The 23,333-nt window shown below is 33.9% G+C and overlaps 1 protein-coding gene and 1 non-coding gene across 14 annotated transcripts in view; both read left to right on the top strand.

The window, feature by feature from the left end:
• KCNT2 (potassium sodium-activated channel subfamily T member 2) overlaps nt 1-23,333 on the top strand; it is a 382,662-nt gene that overhangs the window by 11,748 nt on the left and 347,581 nt on the right. The gene's annotated exons all lie outside the window — the stretch shown is intronic.
• MIR4735 (microRNA 4735) lies at nt 14,212-14,280 on the top strand. The gene has a single exon (NR_039888.1). It is a non-coding gene; the product is annotated as a microRNA 4735 (primary transcript).

Genomic DNA, 23,333 nt, shown 5'->3' with positions numbered 1-23,333 from the left:
AAGAATCCTGAATTTGGTTATTAATATAGCCATATACAGCCAGCCTTCTCATATCCATGGGTTTTGCTTCTGTGGATTTAACCAATCATGGAGGGAAATTATTTTTAAAAAACAAATAATCCCATCAAAAAGTGGGCAAAGGACATGAATAGACAAGTCTCAAAACAAGATGCACAAATAGCCAGCAAACATGAAAAAATGCTTAACATCACTAATTATCAGGGAAATGCAAATTAAAACCACAATGTGATACCACCTCACTCCCACAAGAATGGCCATGATTATGAAGTCAAAAAACAATAAATGTTGGCTTGGATGTGGTGAAAAGGGAACACATTTACATTGCTGGTGGGAATGTAAATTAGTACAACCACTGTGGAAAACAGTGTGGAGATTCCTTGAAAAACTAAAAGTTGTACTACCATTTGATCTAGCAATCCCATACTGGGTACCTACTCAAAGGAAAAGAAGTCACTATGTGTGTGAAAATGACACATGCACATGCATATTTATAGCAGCATTACTTGTAATTGCAAATATATGGAACTGACCTAAGTGCCCATCAACCAACAACTGGATAAAGAAAATGTGATATATATATATATATATATATATATATATATATATATATATATACACATCATGGAATACAACTCAGCCATAACAAGGAACAAAATAATGTCTTTTGGAGCAACTTGGATGGAGCTGGAGGCCATTATTCTAAGTGAAGTAACTCAGGAATGGAAAACCAAACATCATGTGTTCTCACTTGTAAGTGGAAGCTAATCTATGAGGATGCAAAGGCCTACGAGTGATATAATGGACTTTGGAGACTTGTGGGGAAGGTCGGGAGGAAGGGTGAGGGTTAAAAGACTATATATTGTGTACAGTGTGCACTGCTCAGGTGATGGGTGTACTAAAGTCTCAGAAATCACCACTAAAACACTTATCCACATAACCAAAAACCACCTGTGCCCCAAAAACTATTGAAATAAAAATAAAAATTAAAAGCCTACTACAAAAAATAAAAATGAAAACCCAGTACAGTATTACAATTATTTACGTAGCATTTACATTGTACTAGTTATTATAAGTAATCTAGATTTATACTTGATGGGAGGGTATGATTAAGTTATGTGCAAACGTTATGTCATTTATATCAGAGACTTGAGCATTTGTGGATTTTAGTATCCCCAGGGGTCCTGGAACCAGCCCCCTCTAGATACCAAGGGATGACTGTTTATATGCACATAGATAGAGATATATATAAAGCACATGACTATTGTAGCCAACTTCTGGTTGCTAAGTAATTCATATCATATGAATAACCTCAAGCTAGTGCACAGCTTTTTAATTTGTCTATCACCATTATTATCACTATAATTATTTCAATTATAGTGAATTAATATCATTAATTCATTAATATCAATTAATTCATTAATATCAATATAATTATTTCAATTCTCCATTTCAAAAACTTACAGTAGATTTGTACTATTTTTTTCAAATTCCCTCCTCAATTAGGTATTGAGCTCCACCTATTCTTTCTTGGTACAGTTTCATCCTATCTTATTTAAATTACTACAGCACTTGCCAGCATAGCTCATTATTCCAGGTCTGTTTTATGCACCCTATCTCCAATAATCTTCAATGCTTAACTCGAGCCTCAGTCAACCTATGCATTTTCATCATAGTCTTCTTAAACATGATTTTACCATATCATATTCCCATTTAAAAACCTATGGTATGCCGTTAATGCTATTATTTGAAATATAAACTGCTGACTCAACATTCAAAGCTCTTTATTAATTGGCTTTTCTTCCTAAAATGCTTTTTGAAATTTGATCTGTGTATTTATTCACAGAAATCATCCCTCTTTTCACAAGCTGATGTCTGCTTTAGTGCCTTTGCTTGTGTCATACCATGATCTGAGGCTGTCTGGTATCATGTCACCCCCTTTTTCATTACCAGACTCTAAATTGGATGCAGTGCCAGAGTTATTAATGACATTTTGAAATCACTCTGATTACTCCATATATTCTACATGCCATTATTTTGTTTTATAATTATGCTTATATTTTTGAAGGTATAACATAACTTTCTAGAGGTAAAGCCATGTCTTTAATTCGTTTTGGATCCTCCTACATTATTTAACGCAAGTAGTCCATACAAAGGCTCCAAGAATTTTAGTCCTGTAGTATAAAGAAGATATTACCAAAAGAAAAAGAAATATGTCACAGCTATGAATATATAGGCCACCACATATATATGTGTACATTATTATAATAAAAATGAGTCATTTGAATTAAAATTCTGATCCCCCTTAGAAACAAAATAGTTTTTAATGTTCATTCTAAGCCTAGGCATTGTAGTTTAAGGTATTTGACTTGAAAATGTCTTTTCTACATCTAATTTAATATTCACAAGGAGCTTTTCTGTGGAAATAGCAAAGCAGAATGTGCTTCAGTCCATAATTCATACTGTGACAGTTCAAATGACTGTTAAAGTGAATTCTGAAATTTACACAGGGAACTGCTCAGTGAAAACCATCAATCTGCTTGACAGCCAGCAGTGCCATTGTCCAAGGGACATGTGGAGGTGTTGTAAATGATCAACTCCATCTCATACTCACATAGGTAGTGGTAGTTATACAGAATTGAGATGAATGGTATTGAATTCTTGTGTGTGTGTATGTGTGTGTGTGTGTTGGTCTTCTGTAAAAATCTTTTTCTTTTCCTTATTGAGAAACAGTGCTTATAATAGTTTAGGGTCTGTTTAGTTTTGCAGTGTTAGTATGAATAAAGAATGATTTTCTTGAAGAATAAAAAGTATGTGAAATACATCTGTGACCATTATCTAAACAACGTGTTCTAAGTATTCGAATAGAAGGTACGCTATTCAAAAATATGTACATTCCTATTATTAAATGTGTAGAAAGTCATATCTTTTGTAGGGTTTCTTTTTTGTTACATGGAGTGACCAGTTTTTTAAATTTTTAATTTTTGTGGGTACATGGTAGGTGTATATATTTTTGGGGTACATGAGATGTTTGGATACAGGCATGCAACGTGTAATAATCACATCATGGAAAATGGGATATCCATCCCCCCAAGCATTTATCCTTTCTGTTACAAAAAATCCGATTATACTCTTTTAGTTATTTTCGAAACCAATCCCACTACTGGGTATCTACCCAGAGGAAGAGAAGTCATTATACAAAAAGATACTTGCACATGCATGTTCATAGCAGCACAATTCACAATTGAAAAAATTTGGAATCAGCCCAAATGCCCTTCAATCAATGAGTGGATAAAGAAAAAAATAAAAAAATACATATATACACATATATATGTGTGTGTGTGTGTGTGTGTGTGTGTGTGTATATATATATATATATTATATATATGATGGAATACTACTCAGCCATAAAAAGGAATGAATTAATGGCATTTGCAGCAACCTGGATGGAATTAGAGAATATTATTCTAAGTGAAGTAACTCAGGAATGGAAAACGAAACATCATATGTTCTCACTCATAAGTGGAAGCTAAGCTATGAGGATGCAAAGGCATAAGAATGATAGATGGACTTTGGGGACTCGGCAGGAAAGGGTGGGAGGGGGTAAGGGATAAAAGACTACAAATTGTGTTCAGTGTATACTACTTGGGTGATGGGTGCACCAAAATCTTACAAATCACCACTAAAGAACTTCCTCATGTAACCAAATACTACCTGTTCCCCCCACATTTTATGGAAATAAAAAATTATTTTATTAAATTAATTTATTAAATTTTCTTAAAAATAATTTTTATTAAATTTAATAGAAATTATTTTTTATTTTATAGAAATAAAAAATTAAAATACATAAAAGTAAAAGTACATTTAAATTATTATTGACTATAGACTCCCTCTTGTGTTATCAAATACTAGGTCTTATTCATTCTTTCTGACTATATATATATATGTATATATATATTTATATATGTGTATATACATACATATATAATCAGATACATATATGTATGTCTATAGACATATATATGTATTTCTAACTATATATATGGTTAGGAAGCATTTGATAGCACATATATTAATATATAACTTTCTAACTATATAAAACTATAACTATATAAATACATTTATATATTTATATATAGTTAGAAAGTTATATATTAATATATTTATATATAGTTAGAAAGTTATATATTAATATATGTGCTATAAATATAAATATATAAATATACAGTTAGAATGAATAAGATTATATATATATATCTTTTTTATCTTTGGTACCCATTAACCATCCCCACCTCCTCTCCCAACACCCCCACACTATCCTCCCAGCCTCTATTAAACATTCTTCTACTTTCTGTCTCCATGACTTCAGTTGTTTTGATTTTTAGATCCCACAAATAAGTGAAAAGATGTCATTTCTGACTTATTTTATTTAACATAATGACCTCCAGTTCCATCCATGTTATTGCAAATGACAGAATCTCATTTTTTTTTATGGCTGAATAGTACACCATTGTGTATATGTACCACATTTTCTTTATCCATTCATCGGTTGATGGAAATGGGTTGCTTCCAAATCTTGTGCCGCAACAAACATAGGTGTGAAGAGCACTTTTGATTTACTTCCCTCTTCTTTGTAGTGCCAGAAAGAAGCTTGTAATACATCTCTTTACACTTGAAGCTTTACTACCACATGGAAGATAGGAAAGAAATTCTAGTACTTACAGAAACATATAATTAAATGCATGCCTATAAACACTAATTAAAATTTTTATTATCGAGTTGCTCTGACTTACTGATTCCATTTTTCCTACAACATATTTCATGTAATATCTCATTCTAGTAAACTTTTATAATGAAGCCAGGGTCAGCTCCTCTGTGCATCCCAAATTATGTTCAAATTTAACTTAATCTTGCTACCTTATGATGTGGGATAATGCATAAGAAGTACTTGAAGGATATCATCCCACACTTACAGTATCCTTGACCCTTATATTGTGCTGGAGAGATAAGACATACAAATTAACTATTATATAAGTTAGAATTTGGTACAAAGGATTGTACTATGAGAGCATTGGAGATTTGCATTCTTGGAATATTGTAGGTCAGTCCACATTGCCCTGTAGTATGTTGATTAATGAGTCTTCAGAATGCAAAACTTCTTTTAACAAAGCCATCATTTCATCATATAGGTGTTGAGGAAGTCTTGGTATTTTTGGTGCGGGGGTGGTATATGACAAGTGTGTTAGTCTGTTTGCATTGCTCTAAAGGAATACCTCAGGCTGGGTGATTTATAAAGAGATTAATTTTGGCTCACAGTTCTTCAGGCTGTGCAAGCATGGTACCAGCATCCTTTTTCTGGGGAGGGCCTCAGGAAGCTTCCACTTATTGTGGAAGTTGTAAGAGGGGAGCTCGAATGTCTCATGGCAAGAGAGGGAGCAAGAGAGAAAGGAGGTGCCAGGCTTCTTTAAACAACCAACTCTCTTGTGAACTCAGAGTGAGAACTCACTCATTGCAGTGAGGACTGCATCACATCATTCATGAAGGATCCGCCCTCATGACCCAAACACCTCCCATTAGCCCCACCTCCAACATTGGGGATCATTCTCTATCTCTCTTTTTTTGTGTGTTTGTGTGATTCTCATGCCTCAGCCTCTCGAGTAGCTGGGAGTACAGGTGCATGCCACTATACCTGGCTAATTTTTGTATCTTTTTGTAGAGACAGGGTTTCACCATGTTGCCCAGGCAGGTCTTGAACTCCTGGCCTCAAGTGATCCACCCACCTCCTCCTCCCAAAGTACTGGGATTACAGGCATGAGCCACTGCACTCGGCCTGAGATCTCTTTTCAACATGGGATTTGGAGGTGGTGTAACATCTCAACCATATCAGTAAGGAAGAGAATACACCTATAAAATGTGGTTGAGGTGAACTCGATTTTACTGCCAAGTAACGTGAAAATATCAATTTAGAAACAGGAGCTTTGTTTTACTTAAAATTTTAAAGTAGATCAACCTTTAGGATTTTGTGAGTGATGGAGCCCTTGCCCACCCCAACCTCCTCACCAAAAAGTCATTTTCACCTGGAGGAGCATGTCCTACATTATCTGGAAGGGCAGTGAAGAAAGGAATGAGGCTAGTGCCAGGGTCTGGGAGGAAGCAGGAAAGCAAGGCTCTGGAGGAGGAGTGCGGGCTTGGGGCTGTCACCTGAAACCCGTCCTCCATTGCAGTGACCATTACACTATTTCTCTTTCTTATAACAAGCCATCTCATAATTAGAATCTGTCCTGCTTGTTAACAAATATTATCTGTCAGTAGCTGGCATCTGCTGATCACCTGTGGCAGATGTGGGATTTCTATACAGTTCTTTTTACCCTCAGCCTTTTGTATTTTTGCTCATTTGGCATATTTTAAATGCCTTGTGTGAAGAACAGCTATACTCGGTCAAAAGTGTGGGAAAAGTAAAGATTGGCAAGTAGCAGTATACTTGGCTTTATTCCTTTCAATGTCTGCTTTAACATTTTGGTGATTTCCCAAAGACTAGAGGGTCACAGTGTGTTTACTTTGCATTTTTTTTATTTGTATAAATTTAAGGGATACAAGTGCAGTTTTGTTACGGGGATACACTACGTAGTGGTAAAGTTGTGGCTTTTAGTGTAGCTAAAACCTGTATAATGTATATTGTACTCTACACACTATTTTTAAAACAACAATGGCTACAAAAATGTGTTCTCTGGTGTTGGAATGAAAAAAGCAAGAGGAAAGTCAGAGTCACTTTGTTTAAAAAGTAGCATTTAGAAGGTTTAGGAGTACACTGTAGGTAATGCTTAGTAAAAATTGATTTAGAAATCTGTATGCATAAATTAAAAAACTCTTTTAATGAAATGGGATGAGTATGATAGACTGTAGGTTCAAAAACTGGCTGAATGAAAGGGACGATTCAGTATATTCAAAACACCTACAGAGAGCCAAGAATATCAAGAATGTGGAACAGTAGTCACATATAATCAGAGTTAATGAATAAATGTCACAAATACACATACTCATGTTGTATACTTTTATAAGAAAGGGAGAAATTCATTAGATTGATTATGAAGGGGCTGGCCTCAGAGGGATTGGTTTTTGGTTTGGTAAACTCCCCAAAGAGAGACGGTTTCAGAATGGAAACATGAGGAAAAATGTTATGCTTAAACTTAGAAAATTTATTTGCTAATAAACTATTCAAATAATTTTATTATTTTATCTTAAAAATATATTTTTGACATTTAATGCCAACACCTCTAGACTACAAATACTACGTTAAATTCTTTCAAGAACATTAAAAAATGTAAAGTTGGTACATTTTAATGTATAGAATTTTTAAAAGAAGAACATGTAAAATACTTTGACTATTCACGTGTGCACACACACACACACTTTTTTTTATATATATAGTGACTTTAAGGATTATGTTTACACAAGTGGAGTTATACAATAGAAGATATTGTTGTACAAACTGATGTTTTCACTTAACATATTGTTACGTAAACCTACTTAAATCCATTGTTTTGTGACATGTATTTCTAAGTAGATTCCAAAACAAGATTACTTTTGATAGTATAATATTCTATAATATGAATATATCGTGTTTATTTAATTAGGTGTTGTTAGATATTTAGGTTGCTTTGATGTTGATATTTTACATTCTTGTCTTTAAATACTTATAGGCTTTTTGGGGGATTCACTGATGATTTTATTAAAATAAATTCTTCATTTACTAAATAAATTCTTTCATTTACTAAAATAAATGAAATTACCCTGTTGAGGAATAAGAGTATGAGTATTTATATTTCATGGTGTTTAATGCATACTTCCATATCATACCCTAGAAATAAGATTTCGTTCCTATACACAGTTAGTAGTCTATGTATTATTGTTCCTTGGTAAAAATTAATTGCTGCCCATAACTATACAACTTCTATAAATCATTGTAAAATATAAGTTTCTAACATGACTGATTAGAAAACACTATGTTAATCCTTTTTACTTTCTGGGTATACTATTGTAACATTGTAGATTTGTGTCATTGGGAAAACAAAGGCAAACAAGGACATTTACACAGCTTATGTATTAAGAATAACAATAAAAGTGACTGCTTTTTAAAAATCTCAACAGAATGTTTGCAATAAGACAGTACAGTTTTTGTTTTGCTAATAAAATCTTTGTTTTGCTATGTGTTAGTAAGGAAAGTAAAGGAAACAGATTAATAAATCACACTTTGACATTGCCTTCTTGGAGAAGCTAATGATAAAAATAGATAATATTCATGTTTTCATTATTTTAAGTAAATCATCACATTTGTTGTGTACTGCACCTGGGGCATTAGGGCAACAGCTTTTGCTTTAAATGTTTGTTTTCCTGTTTTTTTTTCCCATCTATTTAATTCACATTCAGTGCTACAGAATATCACTTTTCAGTCAGATATTACAAGTCAAATGTTTATGTACTGCCAATGCTACTAATACCATGTTCAAATAACCTGCAGAAGTTGAACTGCAAGATTTAAGATATTCAAAAGCCACTCCGTCTTGAAATAGCAGTTCAGGTTAACAATAAAAGAGAATTTGCCCCTTTCTTTGCCTCAGCTGATAGAAAAGGTTTTTCAAAGTATTGATTATGATTATTGTAATTTTTCCACACTATCTTATCAAGGCAAGAACCAGGCAGGCATTGAGCCAGCAAGTGCTACCATTTTTGAAAAGATGAATGAATTTTTCTCTCAAATTAATTAGATATTTGGGAGCAGTGGAGCATGTCAGTATATAAGCAGGATAATTTGAACTGTCTTAATTTTGCAGTGGACTTTTATTTTACTTTTCATCATGTTACCCCTACCCATGCCATTGCGTAGTCAATTTAATTCTAAAAGCAAATATCAAAGAGTTTGGGTTACATACTCTATGGGTTATTTTTGATACTTCTTTTCATTAAAACAGAAGATTTAAGTTTAAATGGAAAGTAATTTTTTTTCTATTGAGTACTTACATAAAAATATGTCTATAGATTATTGTAATCAAAGCCTACAAAGCTAAATCTTATAGCCTTATATCTAAATCAGGACTCTGAAATTAAGACATGATACACAGCTATCTGAATAATTATATGGAATGTTAATAAATGATAATATCTTGTGAATTCTGGTATGATTATTATGGTAGCAATTAAATAATATAAGGTAAAAGTCATATGCTTCTTTAATGTCACTATATTAGAGCTGTTGAGGGTATAAAATCTTAACCAACTCTTTCTGATGAGTTTGGTCCCTCTTCCAGCGTTTAGTAACTGTATGGTCTTGGGCAATTATGTAATCTCTCTAGTTGTCAGTGCTCTCATCTGCAAAATGAAGATAATAATTTTACTGCTGTTGGTAGGTAATAGATAATTTATGAAAATTCCTTAGCTCAGTGCTAGGTAATAATTACTGCTAAATGATACCTTCTTAGTCTTTAGAAGTCATCAATATGTTGTTATTCGATTTTTTAGGATTTGGAAAAAATATTTTTGAAAACACATTAAGTGTATAAAGTGTCAGTTCTTGTTAAAATTTTATTCAAATTTTTTCCATGATTCGAATATTTTCTATATTTCAGTAAGTTGCTTTGAGGAAAGTAGAATCATCACAGCAGAAGTTTATTGCTCTTCATGTTTCATAAACTCAGTCCATTTGAATGATATTATGCTAATTGAGTTTTAGAGAGTCAAGCTTCACGTCAAATATTTTTTCTCTCATACTTGTGGAAAGCAAGAGTTCTGTTCTCCTATTAGCACTTATTAAATATTGTGATTATTATTCAATGTGGACACATTTTATCAATAAAATAAGAGCTCAGGGGAGGAACACGAAGAATATATAGTTTGTAATGGTAAGATATGGTGGAAGAGATTGTAAATTGTACTACTTACAGTTGTTGTTGTTGTTTTTTTTAATCCTCTTGATTTTAATGTTAGTAGCCTCTAAATTATTTGCCTCTGACTATTTCTTTCTACTTGTCTTCCTGAAAACTCATGTTTCATAGTAGAAAATGTGGTTTGATATTGGGTTTTCCAATAGCAGAGTAAGAAAGTGACTCAATGATAAATCAGGTACTCTTATTAATGATAACAGAAACGAATAATAATACAGGTAAGAATTCTTATTATTCTAGCAGCAGGAGATGTCTAGATTATCAATTGACTAGTGTCAAACAAATTTTCCCCAAAATGATTGAATTCTTAATAATATTACTGATAGTTTTAAAACTTTAAATCAAGAGTTTAAAAACCCCATGAGATTTTTAAATAAAACAACAAAATGGGGAATTTAGCAGCAAGAAAAGAAGTGAAGGGCTTGATTAATCTGCTAATTATATGCATATTAATTAATTAATTTCCTTATTTTGAAACAGAGTCTCACTCTATTACCCAGGTTGGAGTGTAGCAGCAGAATCTCAGCTCAATGCAATCTGTGCCACTGGGGCTGAAGTGATCCTCCTGTCTCAGCCTCCCAAGTAGCTGGGACCACAGGCACTTGCCACTACGCCTGGATAATTTTTTGTATTTTTTTAAATAGAGATGGGGTTTTGCCATGTTGCGCAGGCTGGTCTCAAACTCCTGAGTTCAAGGAGCTCAAGATATCTGCCACTTTGGCCTCCCAAAGTTCTGGGATTATAGACATGAGTCATCATGCTTGGCCTGCTAATTATATAATTAAGAGTTCAATAGAGTTGAGATTTATGTGCATTTAATAAAAAAAGTTTCATTTATGTTTATTGCCTCTATAAAATGTAACTGATGGGCTATAAAAACTAAAGTACTTGAAAGTATGAGTGTATCTAAAGTTTTAAATCCTGTACTTCTAGATGAGCTATTCCATTTTCAGTCTATGAATTGCTAAGACTATGTCCAAGGAATTACACTGACAAACCTAATGGATGAGTGAGTGAATGTCCTTTTCTTTTTTGATTACAAGAAAAAAATACTCTAAAATAATCCCATTCTCTTTCTTGCTCTGTTATTTGTGAGTCATCAAATTCGTTTTGTGATCTCTATAATGTTTTTTTTTAATTAGTTAGCTTCCTCTTGGCTGTAATAAATAGCTCAGTTATTTCCACTAAATTGACCCATCCATTCCATTTATTTGGGCAATTGAATTATCGACTGAGTGGAATGACAAAGAGAATTCATTAGTATTAATTGTTTAGATAAATATGTGTGGTCCAATAATCAAAATATAAATTAAATATATGTGTAGAAAACCTTTAGAGGAAACGTTTCTTTTCCTCTCTTCACAGTTTATTTACTCACTACCAGTTACTTGATGTGTAAGTCAAGTCCCATCCTCTCTTTGAAGAGATAATTTGTGTAAAGTGTTTGACACAGAACAGGATTGCATAGTATCTTAAGGTTATAGCTAGTTTTTAATTTTCTGATCTTCCTTTTGCCTCTTCCTCACTACTGAGCTTTCTTCCTAGTCTCAGTTTTTGCGCTTATTATTTCATTTTTATAACTACTCCCTTGAGTTGTCATTTTTTAAATATCTGCAGTTTCTCCAACTAGACTCCAAGTCTCTTCTACATCGTATTGTACTCATACTTGAAAATAATAAATGCTTGGCAAATACTGAATGATAAGCCTCTTCTGCCTGTGAATGGTCCTTGTTCTGAGCAGAACACATGTGTGCTGACTCTTTTTCATGGGACCCACGCCTACTGGAAGCACCCTCTCCATTCGGAGTTCATCTTTGCAAACCCCACCCCCAAACAAACAAACAAAATGTTTTGTTTGGAACCCTGGGCAAAGTCTCCTGAATATTAGACTGGGTGATAAATCATGAATCATATTTGTACTTGGGTAAAATTTAACCCAAATTCCATTTGGAATCTTCAAGCTAATTAACTTCCTCCTGAGTCCCAAGGTTCTTTTTCTAGCAAAGCTTATATATTTACTATTAAAATAAAATCTGATATAAAAGTTGACAGGAATTTTCTCTTGACAACATTATTTCTAGTTACTACAATGTTTGACAATATACTTTTCTGAAAATATGTTCATTCATCTGTACTCTTTCTGTCTCATCCTCATACTCTGTTGATTTAATGGTCCAGGCATGCCCCTCTCTGCTAATCTTTTCTTCTAAGCCTCTTGGAATACGTGCACCCTTACAAATAAATTTTCCAGCACCTTCAGTTTTTTCAAGGAGAGTTCATCCATTTGTTAATTTGAATAGGAAACAAACTGTAACATTAGAATCTTTTTAATAAAAGCTGCTCATTTTCATACTGCTCCCCATATATCACAGGTTTGGAAATGTGTTACCCCTCTTCTTACAAATTATACACCATTACATTTCCCCTTATTTGAGGCGTATGTTATTTATTACAGCCTTTGCTTTTTTCTTGTCACTGTGTTTTGTCAACCTTTGGTGATTCCTCCACAATTATGGAGGGTTTGGGCGGGAGCTTCTATTCTTTTTATTTTATTTTATTTTATTTTATCTTAATTCCAGATGCTAGTATCATTGTTTTCGCATTCTTTGCCCAGGTAATACCCTGTTCCAGACCCTGCCTTTATAGTTCCTTTAGTTTGGTGACTTTTATATCCAATTCTGCCTGGCACCCTCTTGTTAGGCTGGACCTGAGTATGACCAAGATTGCTCTACTTCTGGAAACTTACGTGGCAACATCCCACCATGTAACTCTAACTTGTCCTTTCAGTGTTCACACTTCCTTACTAACACCAAACTGATTCATTTTTACATATCATCAAGACCTTCAGTACCCTATATATTTCCATGCTTTCCACCCATTTTTAACCTGAACTTTTCTTTCCTGGCTCTTATTTACTCTTCTATCTTGTGCATTCTTTCTTCTGCCCTATGGCTCTACTTACGTTTCTCTTAAAATTTCTGATGATCTTTTTCATGCCAGGTCCAATGAACAATTTTTTTTTTCTGATTCTCCTCCTCTTTCTTGAAACTTCCTTCTCTTGATTTCTATGATATCATTCTTCTTTGTTTTATGTCCTACTCATCTTATCCTAGTTCTCCTTTACAGTCTTCCCTTCTTTTATTTAGCACTAAAAATTATGTTTTATCAAGGATTCTTCCTTGGTTCTTTGCTCTTTTCATTTCTAGTTTGCTTTGTTTAAACTTCAATAAATGTAATTATATGTTGATGATTTCCAAATCATGATATTTGTCTTACTTCTCTGTGCAGAGCTCTAAAACTATATAGACTGCTTTCCACTGGGTGTCTTTTCATGTTCAGCAGACATTTCAATCCACAGTGTCCAAAATTAATTTTGTCATCTCTTTGAAACTATTTACCCTCTGGTATTTTTTGTGTTTAAATATGGTACCAACATGCAACCAGCCACCCAAGGCTGGATTATTAAATTCTTTTTAAAGCTTGGTTCACTACAGATCTCATTGATTCAATTCATAGATGGCTCAAATTGTTGTCCTCATGAGTCCATTTTAATTATTACGCTTCTAATTAATGTGCCTGCCTTTCTCATCTGAACTCTTGAGAGGTGTTTTAATTTTTCTGCCTCAGGTCTTCCTTCTGGCTGCCATTGGACAATTCCTCTCTCTGGAATGAATAACAACCTCTGAAGACATCCCACTCCACCTCTACATGTCACATGATATTCACCTATTTTTTGACCAGTTATCACTTACATAATCTTTATCTCAGCATTTTAGGAAGGCTTTTTCGCTATGCAAATCTCTGTATTTTATAATCCTGTATAATTATATTTTATAATCCTGTATAATTATATTTTATAATCCTATGCAATCTGTATTATCTTCTGTATTTTATGCTTTTCAAACCTTTATTGTACTCTATTTGTTCTACTTTATTTAGTTTGGACAAGCTGAAGCAGGTGACATGGTTCATCTGTATCCTTGCCTGATGCATCACTGAAATGTAAATGAATTGGTGGTGAGAGAATAATTCAAAGGACTCAGTGTTTGAACCAAGCCTAGTCAATGCTGTCAATGCTGCTGTATCTTGGGTGTTTGTGGAGGCACTAAGGTAGTGGCCAGGACTGAAGAAATTGGGAACTTGACCTTATAAGGCAGCTACAAAACTTGCCCTCTATCATTCTAACCAACCCTTCCAAACTTCTAAAAATCTCAGCTCCACTTCTGCAAGTTTATCTTCCCTGCTTGCATAAAATTGCAGTGCCTAATTTGAACACCTTCGGTATTCATCAAAAATACCAAAGGTGCTCAAATTAGACATTGCATTTTTTGCGCATGTCAAGTTGAAATCTATTCATGGATCTTTAGCTCCTTAAGAGAACATGCATATAACATTACTTTTTACTAGCATTCTTCCAAGTACTTTACATGCCCAACGAGAAAGCATAATATTATCCCCATTGTACAGCTGAAGAAACAGGCATAGAGAAGTTAAGTAATCCGTTGGTGATTACAAAGCTAGAAAATGGCAGAGCCAGGAACTTGAACCCTGTTTTTCTTGGCCATTAGGCTTGCTGGAAGGGGATACTAAGATGTAGGAAGGGAAGGTGGAGATGAGGGTCTTTGTTGATTTTCCTAAAAAAGTTGGCGTTGTACTGGCATATGGAGAGAAGTTGATAAGTAAATATTAAATACATACATGTTGGTTTTGAAATATATGATAAGACTTTTTAAAGTCTACCTGAAGAACTGGCAGTATTATTGGTTCTCCCACAGAATTTTCTTATGAAAGACATAATTTTCCTGAAATGTGAACATAGAGGCATTTGTGATGCCTATTATCCAGCTGTCATCTGTCTATTCATGTTGTACACATCTACTATAATTTAAATAGGAGAACAACAAAATGAAAGACTTAGTTTTCAAAACATAAGTAATGGAAGAAAGTGAATTTGATATATTTTTATGACAGCTTTTAGTAAATACTTTTAAAATGAACTGAAGTTAATTTATGCTTGAGTGGGATTTCTTTCTCTTTTTGGAAAGTTTTTATAAATAAATGAAAGAAAATATGTTCTTACTAATAACAGTTTCCCCTCCATCTTTCCCCCATCTCCTTAGGATACTTGTGGAATGTCTCTAGAGTGAGTCGGCCACTGAGAGGACTTTGTATTGTGTTAACTTCATTATATTGAAATTTTGGAATAGCCTCAGGGAATAAGGGACAGAAAAAAATGGGGCAATATTCACCCGGTGGCATTCATTTTCAGTAAAGAGCAAGTAAAACCCTTTATTAAATTTAATGTTTTATTTTTGCTTAGTTTGGAATATACATGTGTATTTCACATATATAAAAATAGAACTTTTTTTACTAAACTGGTCCAGATCTAGATATTTATAGGCATATGGAATTTGGAGGTTACAAAATTAACTTCTAAGAATAAATATTTCCTACTCCTCAAGTATCATGTAAGAATAATTTTTCTATGACAATAAAAAAAGCGAAACACTACAATCTGACCCATATTTTCTTGCCACAGATTAGCATTTATGTGATCTTATTCTAAGCCTATGTGGTACAGAAAGGTAAAAATGCTAAAAGAATGACTATATCACATATATACTAATATTTCAATGTTTAATTTTCTGAAAAAAAAACTGTACGTTTTGTAAATAGCTGTAGCAGCTATAGTCAAGATGATTTCTTGAGAAGAAATTACCTGTTCTTTAAAAAATGTTCTTGCCAAAATAATGATTGTACATAGCTCAAAAATCAGCTATTATTAGAAGGCTTACAAGAAAACAAGAACAAGTAAAACAACAATAACAAAAACCATCTGGCCCCTGCCTTCACCTTGTCAGCTTTTCCATGATGTACTTTTCAGAAAGAAACACTTTGAAGCCTTTTGAGTGTTTTTCCCTGCTTTTATTCTCTATAGTCAGTTTCACAGTTTCTCAATTTGAGGGAGTATTCATTGACTTCCTACTATGAAATATAAGGATTTAGCAGTCTAACTATACCATCACAACACACATCTCACTCCCCATTCTTCCAATACAGTAATTATTTTTGTTTAGAGCAATACCATGTATGCATATTATATGACTATTTCAGTTTTGCTCAGAACTGAGTAATGAGTATTATGATTATCATTTTCTTATTCAACTGTCTTTGTTTCTAAGTATATACACATTTTCATTTTGTTGTCTGCTAAGTTTTCTAGTTACCTATTGATAGTGTTTCACCAAGCACTGTGGTAGAACTATAAAGCCTTTCTCAGGGTAATCAAACACATCAGACAGTGTACCTGTGGGGAAGGTCCAGGTTATGCTGTGGAAAGAAACACTCTCAGATCCTCCGTGGTTCTCTTCTGTGGAGTTACTCAGGAACTCCCTCCCCTCCCACTGAACCATCTTCAAGCTTCATTCTGTACCCACATTTCTGTGGGATTGTTTATCACTTTTTTCTCTGTTGAGCTGGGGCTTCCATTCTATTATTTCTTCCATTTAGTATTTCTGGAGCTGGGACTTCCATTCATAATAAATCCATTATCTTAGGAATGCTCTTCACTTTCTTTACTTGAGTGTCCTATTTGCTGGATTTGTTTATTCTTTTGTATTGGTGAAGCACATTTTCCAGAAGCTTCCCTAGAAATGGTTTCAGGAGGAAAAGTTTTGAGCTTGTGCATGTCTGAAAATCTTTTTATTCTACCTTTCCACATGAATGGAAACATTTCTAGGTTGGAAAATTATTTTCTGTCAGAATGTGGAAGCCATTTTTCCATTCTTTTATCTTTCCATGTTTCTATTGAGAGGACCATGAACATTCGAATGAGACTTGCTTCCAGCCAATGAAAGCTGTATCACCAATGAAAGCTGTATCACCACTTTTCTGATATTTCATGATGCTGTACTTTAGTGTAGGTCTTTTTAAAAATTTAACTGGGAGGAGTGTGGTGGCTCATGCTCATAATCGCCGCACTTTTGGAGGGAGAGGTGGGTGGATCACATGAGGTCAGGAGTTCCAGACCAGCCTGGCCAACATGTTGAAACCCCTTCTCTACTATAAATACAAAAATTAGCCAGGTGTGGTGGCACATGCTTGTAATCTCAGCTATGGGGAGGCTGAGGCAGGAGAATCACTTGAACCCGGGAGGAGGAGGTTGCAGTGAGCCGAGATCGTGTCATTACACTCCAACCTGGGTGACAAAGTGAGACTGCATCTCAAAAAAAAAGAATTTCTACTTTTTTTTTCACTTTTATTTTAGGTTTAGGGGTACATGTGCATGTTTGTCACATAGGTAAACTTGTGTCATGGGAGTTTGCCATACAGATTATTTCATCACGCAGGTACTAAGCCTAGTACTCAATGGTTATTTTTTCTGATCCTGTCTCTCCCCCGACCCTCCATCCTCAAGTAGGCCCCAGGGTTTATTGTTCCCTTCTTTGTGTCCATCTGTTGTCATCATTTAGCTCCCACTTTTATGTGAGGACATGCTGTATTTGGTTTTCTGTCCCTGCGTTATTTTGCTAAGCATAGTGTATACAAAATGGGGGAAAAAGGAAAATAATCTATATGACATGGATAACATGTCATTGTACCTTTGTCCAAACCCATACGTTGTGCAGTACCACGAGTGAACCCTAATGTAAACTATGGGCTTTGGGTGATTGTGATGTGTCAAGGTAGGCTCATCCGTCATAACAACTGTACCTTCGTGGAGAGGGATACTGATAATGAGGGAAACTACACTTGTGTAGAGCTAGGGATTATATGAAAAATCTCTGTACTTTCCTCTCCATTTTGCTGTGAACATAAAAGTGGTCTAAAAAATAAAGTCTTTATAATAAACTCTAAAAAATGTTAATTGAATGCTATTTCATTTCACTCTAATACAAAAAAATAATTGGAAGCTCTTTATGAATCGACAGGATTTGCTGCCTGAGGATTTTACTGTGGGTGACATGGGGGGTAGCTGATTATTTCCTTGTTACTCCCTCTCCTCCCATCCAAATCCCGAATGCCAATATTTTTAGTCTCTTTGGTCAGTCCCTCTAGATTTGAATTCTCTAATGTTCTATCTTCTAGAGGCTTAATTGTAAAAGAATTCTTCATACGTTAAGTTGCAATGTGTGGACTTTAACATAGCCCCTGCAGTAGGTAGACTTTAACATAAGCGGAAGTGCCAACTCCCCTTCCTAATTTCTTTCCTTCCTGGCCCACTCTGATCTACAGCTAGTCTGTTTCATCCTCCAGTGCTCTGTGAGGTCAGGGAGTGATATTTGCATAATTCTGTGTGGTGAAGAAGGAGGTGTTGGTTCTAAGAGACTTTGCAGCCATTCTATTTTTTGCACCAATCCTTTCTCCGCGTTCAAGGCTCCCAGTTCCCTGAGTGACTTGTCTTTCCAGGTACTGAGGTGCTTCTTGTTGTCTTTCTGTGCTATCTAACATCCTGTCCGTTCTGGATCGGTTACAACTGATTGTTTTTTTTCCTAACTATGGAGTGTGGTAAGACTGCAGGTTTGGGATTGTTTTTTTTCCTAACTATGGAGTGTGGTAAGACTGCAGGTTTCCTAATTTTGATTCCAAATGAAAATACTTAAAAAATATCAATAGCACTTTTCTTTGAGCACTGTACTATATCAATGAGCTACTACAGCAGAAAGTATAGCATTAAGTAAAATCCCATAATGTGCTAAAAGCAGTGCAGATTTCATTTCTCATTGCCTGGTTTTCCTAATAAAAAAAAAATTACACGTTTTAAAATAACATGCATGAGAAACAGAGAAAGAGTTTAAAATGTTAGTGTATTATATTTTTTTGCTTCTTTGCATTTCTAATAATTTTTATTGGGTTGAGAGTATTATGAATTCTACTTTTTTGTCAGATATTTTGGATTTCCATAAATATTCTTGAGCTTTGTTTTAGAATATTTGGAGACAGTTTGATCCTTTTAGGTCTTGCTTTTAAGTTAGGCAGTACCAGAGCAATGCTCAGTCTAGGACTTATTCCCCATCACTGAGGCAAGACCCTTGTGAGGACTCTAACCAGTGCTCTCGGAATCTTGAGGTTTTCTAGGTTAGTTCAAGCACAATTCCTGGATTTGTGTTAGGGCCAGGCACCATTGCCATTGGTTCTTTCCTCAGCCTTGAATAGTTTCCTAACATACATATGTTAATCAAGGGTCAGCTGAGTGCTTAAGGGAGAATATCTACTGATCTCTGGAATCTATTATCTGTGCCGCTTTCTTCTCCCTAATTCTGTGTTGTGTGAATGCTTGCTGTTTTTGTCTTTTCAGACACTCATCTCTGTGCCTTCTCCATTCAGTCTGTCAGGCTTCATCTGTTTTTCCTGACTGTGGGAAATTTTCTCAAAACAGTAAGAATAAACTGAGGCAGTTGTAGGTTCACCTCATTTGTTTCTCGTTTCTCAGGAATTGCCATCCTTTGTTGTCTCATGTTCATCACCTTAAAATATTTTTGTGTGTGCGTATGTTGTCATTTTTGTTGTTGTTGTTGTTTTGGGAGTGGAGTAGGATGGGGTAGTAAATCTGGTACCTATTACTCTATCATTGCCAGCAGCAGAAGCTATAGGATAGATGTTGGCTTTTAACTGATTATATTGTACATTCTTACAGAATACCATATTTTCATAAACAGTTAATAAAGTAATAGTAATCTGTTGGCATAATTAAAAAGAAAACAAAATTTCTTTGAAATTTTATTTTCTATTCAATGTATCATCACAAGCTCTTACTTGGGAATTGTTTATGCAAATATGGAAAAATCGATCACTTTTCCAAGAAAATGTTTTGCTGGGAAAGAGGAATTTAACTAACTTAATTGAATTCATCACTTAAATAAGTATAGGCAAGATAGAAGAGGAAATATTAATATCACTGATTGGATTGATTGTTCTATGAATGCACATTTAGTGGTCTTTAAAAATGAACTTCAAAACCAACACTGCCTAGTGACATAGAAAGCTTTAATTAACTGCATACTATAAACATACATATTTAAATACAGCCAGAGATACTATTATTTCAAAAGAATAAGTTTGTACAGATGAGAAGAAATGATACTAGATATTGAGGAACATATTGGCAGTATTTTCCATATTTTCCATTTACTTTATAATTATGAAATACATATGTTTATTCATACTTTAGTTAAGAGAACTTACAGCTGTTTTTAGAAATCACACACTAAGAATAATGTGCAAAATTTTTATATAATTTATGTAGGACAGTATCTACTTTACTCTGAAGTATGCTATGGTATTCCCAACAAGTTTGGCGTGGAATGTTTTTCTAGCTACTTTAGGTCCTTCAGGAGACAGTAGATTCAAATAGAAAAACATCTATTCAAATTCTAGTGACAATACTGCTTGTCTTTTTGGATAATTAGTTTAATTTCTCTGGATCTCAGTTTTCTCTTTATACAATGGTAGTAATGGAACAAAAAAACTGGCTTTTGTTTCTGATATATCTGTGTTTATATTACTCTTTTTATGTTTACTAGCCTTGAGTTAATTAATCTTGGGAGCTTTAATTCCTACCATTGTAAAATGAGTATAATCATACCTATTTAGCATCGATGTTAGGATTCTTTAAGGATATATATATACACACACACACACACACATATATATATATATATATAAAACCTAACACACTGCCTAGTATTTTATAAATAGTCATTAGATTAGTCATTAGATGTTAGTTATGATCTCTTCTTCAATTTTTTTTTTTTTTTTTTAGACAGGGTCTCACTCTGTTGCCTGGGCTGGAGTGCAGTGGCATGACCATGGCTCACTGCAACCTCTGCCTCCCAGGTTAAAGCAATTCTTGTGTCTCAGCCTCCCAAGTAGCTGGGATTACAGGCATGCGCCTCCACACCCAGCTTATTTTTGTATTTTTAGTAGAGACCGGGTTTCACCATGTTGGCCAGGCTGGTCTGGAATTCCTGACCTCAGGTGATCCGCCAGCCTTAGCCTCCCAAGTACAGGTGTGAACCACTGCATTCCGCCCTCTTCCTCAATTTAAACTGAGAAGACAGTTCGAGCTAATGATTCTTAGATTTTATGTATATATAAATATATCAAATCTATATATTATTTATTATATCTATATTTATATTATTGTAAATATATGTTAGATCTCTCATATGTCCAAGTAATCTGTTGGTTTGCACGATGAATGTCTACATTACAAAAGTCAGCTGAACTGACAAACCTCTTATAATTGGAACAATGGTTGAAATGTTTTCCCATTAGACGTTAGGTGGGTTCACAGCTCTGCTAGAGTCAAGGGACATAGTTTAGCGCTATGGACATTTTACTTATGACTCATTCAACATAAAACTGTAGTATGTCATTATGTCCATTTTCTCAAAAGAGAAATGTTAAATGTAATGAAAAAAATAATATAGATACCATTGAATTATTCAAATGAATGATGCTAGATACAAAGAATTCCAAATTTAAAAGGGGGTAGTTAAGAGAGTGTTCAATAATTGTGTATAGAGATCAGTCAGTCATTGTTAGGGAGTTAAAACAATGCAGATCATAGATCTTGAAAATTTCACCTTGTATGATTAATTAATTCATACCATTCACCCCATTACTTTCTTTGGGAAAATGGCAAACTTTCACTTCTAAAACTCTCCCTTTATACTTTCTTTATACTTTTATAATTTTGAAAAAATTGCTTAATTATAGACACCATGAAATTTAGTATATAAATTACTAAATAATATACTCAATTAATTATGAGTCTTTCTGGAATCTTTGAACTGAAGGCACCATGTTACTTGTTGAAAACAGGGAGAAATATCTGGGAAAGACAGAGAGAGAGACTCAAAACTCTGCTTTATCTTGTATTAGTTTTTAAGAAAAAAGAAAAAACCCTTCTTATGTATGTTTTAAGATTGTAATATTCAATCATAATAGAATAATGCAAGTAAAATTGTACATAAATCATATATATAATTTATCTATAATAGCTCCAAAGTTTTAGATTCTCAACAATTTTAAACATAAATGTATCTCTTTAAATCATAAAATATTTTTGATCTCTGTAAACAAGTTGTGTTATTATTGAAAAGGCCTCATCAAGAAATTATTTCCCTTAGAAAAACAATTCGAAATTTGGAATATTTAACGTATTCTGCTTGAGGTTTGTAATGAACAGGAATTTTGTTGTAAAGTGTAAAAAGTAATGAAATGCATGAGAGCAAACCTGGATTCCAAGTTTTTTAGTCTTCCCTTGCTACCTACTTCCTGGTTAGTTGTTTAACAGCTATGACTCTAAGTGATTCCTTTCTAAAATGAGACAGAACTTTCACTCTCTTTCACTCTCTTGTAGGATTGCTGTGATAGTCACACTAGATAGTGTATCTGAAAATGATTAGTAAAACACTTTAAAAATGTATGGATTATTTGGTATGAAGATAGACTCTTAAGTTGATTAACATACAATAAGACACAAAATTTCATTCGTTGGTTTTTATTACCAGGAAGCTTTTCATATTTACTCTTATTTATGCTTCATAAGAGCCTACCCAAAAATTAGATATTATTTTCTCCTTTCTCCAGAATAAATAATATTATTAATAATTGATTCTCAGAAAAAGTAAATGATTTAATTAAGACCATGTAACTATGATGAAGTTGAGATTCAGACCTTGGTCCACTATACTGTATTGTTCCTTTATCATCCGGTTTTGTATACTTAGATGATTTTTCCATATCCTTGAAATCTCTCTCATTCTCTCTCTCTCTCTCCCCCTTCAAGAAACTAAGTATCTGACACTATTATAAGTTAATTAATGCTATTAACTTATTTGCAGTCCTCTAAGTGACTGAGAAAGTAAACAAGAGTAACATACCAAGATAAAGTTAAAAAAACATAAAATAACTGCCATGTGGAAAAAACATTTTATATCTCTTCCATTAAGCATATTGTGAAAAATAAAATTATTCAATCTCATGAACATTTCAGCCAGTTTTCTGAGGTAGCTCATTCAGCTCCCTTCCTTCCCTCCTCTTTCTCTCTCCCTCCTCTTCCTCCTTCCGTCTCTTTCTTCCTCCTTTCTCTTCTTTCATATTTTATTTATTAGTTATTTAGTGTTTGAAACACTTTGAAGGATATTGGAAAAACAGCTTAAAGAAAATATGAAGATCATGTAACAAATCTTCAATCTAACTGAGTTCTACAGAGTAGCTCATCAAAGTTGTTAAGATCATTTTCTCCTGGCGTGATTAGAAATCAAGACTTCCCATCATGAACTTTAAAAAAAAACATGATTCAGCAATTAAATGTAGTGCTGGATAAATAAGCATATCAAAAGAACAGTGTCTGCAAATTCCCATCAC

The sequence above is a fragment of the Homo sapiens genome, chromosome 1 (assembly GCF_000001405.40).
Source record: "Homo sapiens chromosome 1, GRCh38.p14 Primary Assembly".
Lineage (NCBI taxonomy): Eukaryota > Metazoa > Chordata > Mammalia > Primates > Hominidae > Homo > Homo sapiens.
This window is presented reverse-complemented; position numbering and strand designations above follow the sequence as displayed.